The sequence below is a fragment of the Homo sapiens genome, chromosome 8, assembly GCF_000001405.40.
Source record: "Homo sapiens chromosome 8, GRCh38.p14 Primary Assembly".
Lineage (NCBI taxonomy): Eukaryota > Metazoa > Chordata > Mammalia > Primates > Hominidae > Homo > Homo sapiens.
Window position 1 is genome coordinate 95940022 of NC_000008.11, and position 6512 is coordinate 95946533.

At 43.6% G+C, this 6512-nt stretch overlaps 1 long non-coding RNA gene across 1 annotated transcript, besides 2 other annotated features; it reads left to right on the forward strand.

Moving 5' to 3' along the window:
* Positions 1-537: 537 nt before the first annotated feature.
* LOC107986957 (uncharacterized) lies at positions 538-5136 on the forward strand. Its single transcript, XR_001746008.2, has 3 exons — positions 538-616; positions 2056-2221; positions 5000-5136. It is a non-coding gene; the product is annotated as an uncharacterized LOC107986957 (long non-coding RNA).
* Positions 746-815: an enhancer, noted in NCBI's record as "active region_27657". NCBI's record gives its function as "activates an Ori minimal core promoter by ATAC-STARR-seq in GM12878 lymphoblastoid cells {active_cell/tissue: GM12878}" and the evidence as "EXISTENCE:reporter gene assay evidence [ECO:0000049][PMID:35858748]".
* Positions 826-875: an enhancer, noted in NCBI's record as "active region_27658". NCBI's record gives its function as "activates an Ori minimal core promoter by ATAC-STARR-seq in GM12878 lymphoblastoid cells {active_cell/tissue: GM12878}" and the evidence as "EXISTENCE:reporter gene assay evidence [ECO:0000049][PMID:35858748]".
* Positions 5137-6512: the final 1376 nt, after the last annotated feature.

Below are 6512 nucleotides of genomic sequence, written 5' to 3' on the forward strand. Positions count from 1 at the left end.
AGCTTATCAGGAAGACTTACTGCATGGTGGGGTCAAGTTCCTTTGCCACTCCTGACAGAATAAGGGGAGCAGTGGAATAACATGGGGGAAAAGATTCGTGAAGAGCTTGCCAACCCCTGGGAAGAGAAGTGGCTCCCTCTATTCTTCTCCTACGTCTATCCTCTTCCCTTGTGCCCATTCCTAAGTCAGTCCTATTCAGCAAATAGCTGCTGAGCACTTACTTGCTGCTGGGCTGCAGGTGAAGGATACAAATATGAAAGCACATGGCCCTGTCCTCAAAATGCTCCAGTGGAGTGTCAGGGAAAGATAGGAAAAAAGACAAATCATTTTAAAATGGTGCTTTTCCAGAGACAGAGCACAGCTGAAAGTTAGACTGCAGGTATTTAAGCCTACAGAAATGTAAGCAGAAAGATAATGTGATCTACTTTGTGAGAGGCAAACTCCTTGGCTGTAATGTTGAAGGGAATGAACTCAGATGAGGCTAGAAAGCAAATGCAATAATTCAGATTAGAGATGGTAACAGTCTTTTTCAACGCAGAGTTCAAGAAGATGGAGATGAGAGGCAAAACACAGATGAGAGCAGTCTCAACAGGGTTTGGTGACCGACTACAATGTGGTAAGTAAAAGAGGAAATGAAACAGAGAGCAAGGTTCCCAGCCTGGGAGGCAGGGTGCACGTGTTCTGTTAGCTAGATGGCCAAACAGGAGAAAGAACAGATTTGGAGGTGCATCTAACAGGGATGGGCAGGAAAATAATACATATTTATCGTTTTCCCCCTCTGATGTAAAATATGTCTTTGGATACACAGGAGATTCAGAATGCAGCCTTAAATCTGATGGACACATATTAGGCACTCAATAAATGTTATCTGAATGAAATACATTTTGGAACTCAGAAGAGGGTTGAACATGTAACAGGAAATCAGGGTTGGAAATGTAACCTATTGTCACCTAAGAAGCATTCTGTTCCAAAATGACATCTCAGTCCTTCCCTTCTTCCTCTCCATGCCCCCCATAAAAAAATTTCTCTTCCCTTTGTCTTATTAGGAAAATATTTGATAATGCTACCTAAAATGCTTAGAAATCACCCAAGCATCTGCAACTTAACTGCATGTATTATTTTTATATAACTGTACATCTCTGCTTTCTACTATTATATTTTTAAAATATTATATTAAAAAGATAGATTTTAAACTTTTATTCTAATCATATTCTCTCTTGATAGAGTCATTTTTTATATTAAAAATTCTCTAACACACAACAGCAGGATTTTCTCCAGCTATGGGAGAAAAACCTTTAATTTTATGTGTCCTGTCAGGAGACCTAGTCTTTTGTCACCTTTGTTTTAATGAGTCTTGGAATTAGCAATTTATAATTCTTCTTTCACCTCACTCTTTTTTAGATAAATCAGATATACCTAAATAGGGATATGGGATAAAGTTTACAGTTCCGAAACAAAATAAAAACAAGAAAAACTATTCACAGCTCTGTTACTCAATTAACAGAGTCAACAATAAAAGGCATTTCACATGGTTATACATTAACCAGACGTTTTCAGATTCTTCCAAATCATATTTTGGAAGTATCTGGAAGACTTCTTTGCCTATAGTTTAACCAAATCCTCTTTTATTACTAGTCTTACTTTTTTTTTTTTTTTTTGAGACAGAGTTTCGCTCTGTCACCCAGTCTAGAGTGCAGTGGTGTGATCTCGGCTCACTGCAACCTCCACCTCCTGGGTTCAAGCAATTCTCCTGCCTCAGCCTCCCAAGTAGCTGGTACTACAGACACGAGCCACCACACCAGGCTAATTTTTGTGTTTTTCAGTAGAAACGGGGTTTTACCATGTTGGCCAGGCTGGTCTTGAACTCCTGACTTCAAGTGATCCACCCGCCTCGTCCTCTCAAAATGCTAGAATTACAGGAGTGAGCCACCGCACCCAGCCTCCATTCTTACATTTTCTATGCATGTCTAGAATGGCTTCTGTGTTAGTGAATAACTCACATGCACCGGTTAATCCTTGCCAAGGGCTCTACCTGAATGGAACTTTCTTTCACAGTATTTCTGGCAGCTGTGAAGGAATCACTCTGAGCAAGCAGAAGTCCCCACACTCTTACCCTCTGCCTCTTCTGTGGAGAGAAGCGCTGTGGGCCCACCTCCATCCCAGCTGAAGAAGTGGACTAGCTCCTGGTGGAAGAAGAAAAGAGCCATGTCTACTTCAGAAGGTCTGAGGTGACTCTGCCTCCAGGTGTCCCCAGCAGGAGAGATGTGCTGTCCACGGGCCCAGGGTCTCTATGCCTGTCTCTCACCTTCAGACTGGAAATCAACCAACAGTAATCTGGAATGTTGGTGGCTACGTGGCCTGATCTAATAGGGGGGAAAGAACGGTGGCTGACTCCTGCCTTGTCTTGGGGAAAGTCAAGCCAGGAACCACAAACTTTTTTTCTTCCCTTTTTATAAGCTCACTGTTTACCCAAGTTAGCTCCAGAAATGCTTACTTTCACTCTAGAAAAGGAGCACCGTATTTTTCCACAGATCATTCACTGAGCCACTCACCTATGCCTCTTTCTTGCAAAACAACAATGGTGACACACTCCTTATTAAACTCATTGTAAGTTTTATTCGATTACAACTCAAATTTTTTTCACTTCTGTGTAGTCTCCACTGTTTGCTATTTATATAAGAAAATGTGGCCAGGTACAGTGGCTCACACCTGTAATCCCTGCACTTTAGGAGGCCGAGGCGGGCAGATCCCTTGAGGTCAGGAGTTCGAGACCAGCCTGGTGAATATGGTGAAATTCTTTCTCTAGTAAGAGTACAAAAATTAGCCAGATGTGGTGGTGGGCACCTGTAATCCTAAGTACTCAGGAGGCTGAGGCAGGAGAGTCACTTGAACAAGGGAGGTGGAGGTTACAGTGAGCCAAGATTGCACCACTGAACTCCAGCCTGGATGACAGAGTGAGACTCTGTCTCAAAAAAGAAAAAAAAAATTAAAATTGAAAGTTATATGCATACTAGGGAAACAATTAATTTTAAAGTAAAGCAGAGGTGGGGGAAAGTGCATAAAAAATGTTAATAAAACCTGCTGAACTCCGAGTGGTAGCTGTCTTTGGGGAGGGGCAGGTAGACTTCAAGTCATTTTTCCCCCTTCTTGCTGTGTTTCTCCATTTTTCACTTTTTCTTTAATAAGCATGTGTTTCCAAAGTTCTACCTCCCATTTGCTCAGTAAATAATGACATGCATGTGCCCTTTTGACTCTCTTGCAATTTTTTGGAATCACCCCAGTTTCTTCCAAAGTCTTGTTCATTGTTCTTGGATCGTGTGGGAAGGCTGTGATTTGGATAAGTGTCTGACTATATGTTTTGGATGCTTCTGTAGTTAAGAACTAAGATGGGTGGGAGAATGAGTAACACGGTGACTGAAAAATTAGAAAAGTGATTCATAAAATGTACCCAGATATCTTGTCTTGCTCAGTTCTCTAAATGTCTTTCTACATTTTAGCCTCAGTTAACAGCATTGTGCTTTTCCCTGAAGGGATAGGACTGCTGAGGTCAATGCTGTGCATTCCAAATCCTCGAAACAAGCTGCCTTATGTCTTTAGTCCAAGAGTGTATACAGTTCCTTAACAGAATCCAGAAGCCTTTGGGGTCCAAATACATTTGCTTTATTGCCCATTTTCTGCCACTCCCATTGCCTTGGTTCTCTCACTAAAGAACACATTTCTACCACATATTTCCAAGAAAAGAAAAACTCAGAAAGATATGGACAAGGGCTCTAAGGTCAGCTTTAATAATTAATTGGTGCATGCATTGTGTTATTGCACAGAACTAGGCATAAGAGTCCAAGAGACAGCTCATGTCTTCAATGAGATCAAGATCTAATGAGGCAGAATGACGAAAAGCAATTATAATATTCTCTGCAAAGTGAAATATGGGTCAACATAGAGGCTTTAAGAATACATAGGAGACTTCACTCAGCTGAAGTTAAGGATATGGCCAGAGAAGGCTTCCCAAAAAAGGCAGAGCCCAGAAGGAAAAATAGGAGATACGGGTGGGGAGAGAAGGGTGGGCATTGCAAGCAGAGGGAATGTTGTGTTCAAAGACTGGACCAAGAGAGACTCACTGTGAGTACTTCACAATGGGTTGGGCACAGAATACGAGGAAAAGAGAAAGAGAAGATACAGCTGGAGAGGACAGTGGGGACCTAGCATGCTATGCTAGGTGAAGTTAGTAGGCAAAGTATTATATTGCTTTTAAACAAATGAAAGATATGATCAGATATTATACAGTTTTAGAGCTAGAAAGGATCTTAGAAATAATTTGGTGTGTCATCTTGCAATTGAGAACACTGAGACCCAGAGAAGCGAAGTGACTTGTACAATGTCATGCAGCCTGCTAAGGGTAGTGTTGAATCAAGAACTATTTGGGACACTTTCCAATCCATCACGTCATTTCCCAATAGGGCTGATTGCAATCCTATGAGTGGAGCCACATCCTCCAGAGTTTTGCATGAGACTTTACATTCAGGAATACAGGCTTATGTTCTCACGAGGCAGTTGCAAGTTTGGCCTCCTTCAATGTGAAAAGAGGCTTCACCACCAACAAGGATTTTCCAAGCATTTCTGAAACCAGGGCAATGTTCAAGATTAAAAGAAATAGAAGAACTTAAAAGAAAATGAAAAAGTGGGTTCAGCAGAGCAGAAGCCCTGTTCTTTCAGCATCTTCTGTTCCACTGCTTTTCATTCAAATAACCTCAACCTCCTTCCCCTCACTTTTTTCATGTCCCTTGTTTTATTCTGGCCTCTGTTTTTATCCTTTCCTTCCCATTACTCTCAATTCCTCCTTTCCTATCCCTAAATGGCAGGCAGACATGGTCAGAATAAGGACTGAGTGAGAAGGATGTTAGGATCGTGAGAAGCGAGCTCAAAATGACCTAAGTTTCTTTCTTTTCCCAATTCCAGCTTCCAGCCCAATATTAACCTTCTTCTCCTAACCTATTGGCAGGCTGCTGTCACACAGTGGGAACCCCAGCCATGCCAGTAAAACCCACGATCAGTGCCGCTGTATCCTCAAGGCTGAGCCATTGAGCCACTGACTCCCCTGATCCTCCCACCAGAGATGAAAAGTGACCCAAACACTAAGCCAACCAGCATTCCAGCTTCTTCTGCGCCGCCTAGGTGGAGCAACCGGAGGGAAGCAAGGCACTTGGAGGTCAGCCATTCCTGGCTGGCCAGGCCTGGCTGCTGGGCCCTGGCAAGCACACCAGAGAGGCTGGAGCCGCTGCCCCCACCTGAAGCCAGGCTGGGCTCTGGGGCCTGGACCTAGTTGGATGAGTGGGAGAAGAGAGGAACATCTCTTATCCTCTGCTCTTTTGAACTTTTTTGGCTGCTAGCGGGAAGACCTTCAGGGACTGGGGCACTGCGAGAAGGGAGAAGATGACGCTCCTCGGGAGGGAGTCGCCAGGCCTCTGCATGATATATCGGCCCTCGGAAGCCAATCTTACTTGCAGATAAAGCGCATTTGTTTTGTCCGGCTTGGAGCTGACAGGAGGAGGTTTGCTGGCGGGATGGCTTCCGGCCTGTTCATCCCTCTTCTGGTAAAACTACCTCTTAGGGGAAGGCGTCTAAGTTGTTTCCTCTCCTCTGTGGCTCCTAAGCACCTGCTGGGTGTAGAGGCTTCTGCTGGCTCCAAACAGCCTCCACCCCACAGGGACTTCTTGCTGCAGCCACCTGAGCCACACAGGCTTCTAGCAGCAGGCTTGTTGACAGGGAACAAATGACTGATGAGACTAGAGGATCTCACCCCCTTCCCAGGAAGAAGATGAAAGCAGCAATGGGCTCAAATCCAGCAGAGGCGATTCCTGCTTTGCCTGGCAGCACTGGCTGGGCCTGATGGAGCATTGGAAAGGAATGTGCCCATGAGACGAGTGCGGGCAGAGGCTCTGCTCTTGTCCTTGCCATCAGTCTGGCAACCTAGAAAGTCCTGGAGTCTATGGGAAAATTGGCTCTAGCCTTTTTATGTTCTGATTTAAGTTTAACACATTACATATTAGGTGCTTCCTGCATTTGCATTTAACAAAATAGCCCAATTATAAACACATCGTTCTTTTCCATACCATGTGGTTCCGCTTCTCTTTTGTAAGTTCACATTGGAATATAATTTATCGGGTCATTCAGTGATTCTGTAAATATCACTGAGTGCCTACACTACCTTGCAGTGATAATGCAGAAACCTCACAACTTTTCTCCTTGTCTTCACTTTTACTCACTTCCAATCCTTGCCCGATGACAATACCACAGACACCTTTCTAAAGTGCAACTCTGACCACGCTAAAAATTATGCAACAGAAGACATTCTCAAATCAGTCTGGTAGACACAATCTACCTTTGAAATCTCACCACTAGGCACACCGATGCAGGTCATGCTGAGCTACTAATTTTTCCTGAATATGACAATAATAGCTGTGATGGTTAATACTGAGTGTCAACTTGATTGGCTCAAGGATGCAAAGTATTGT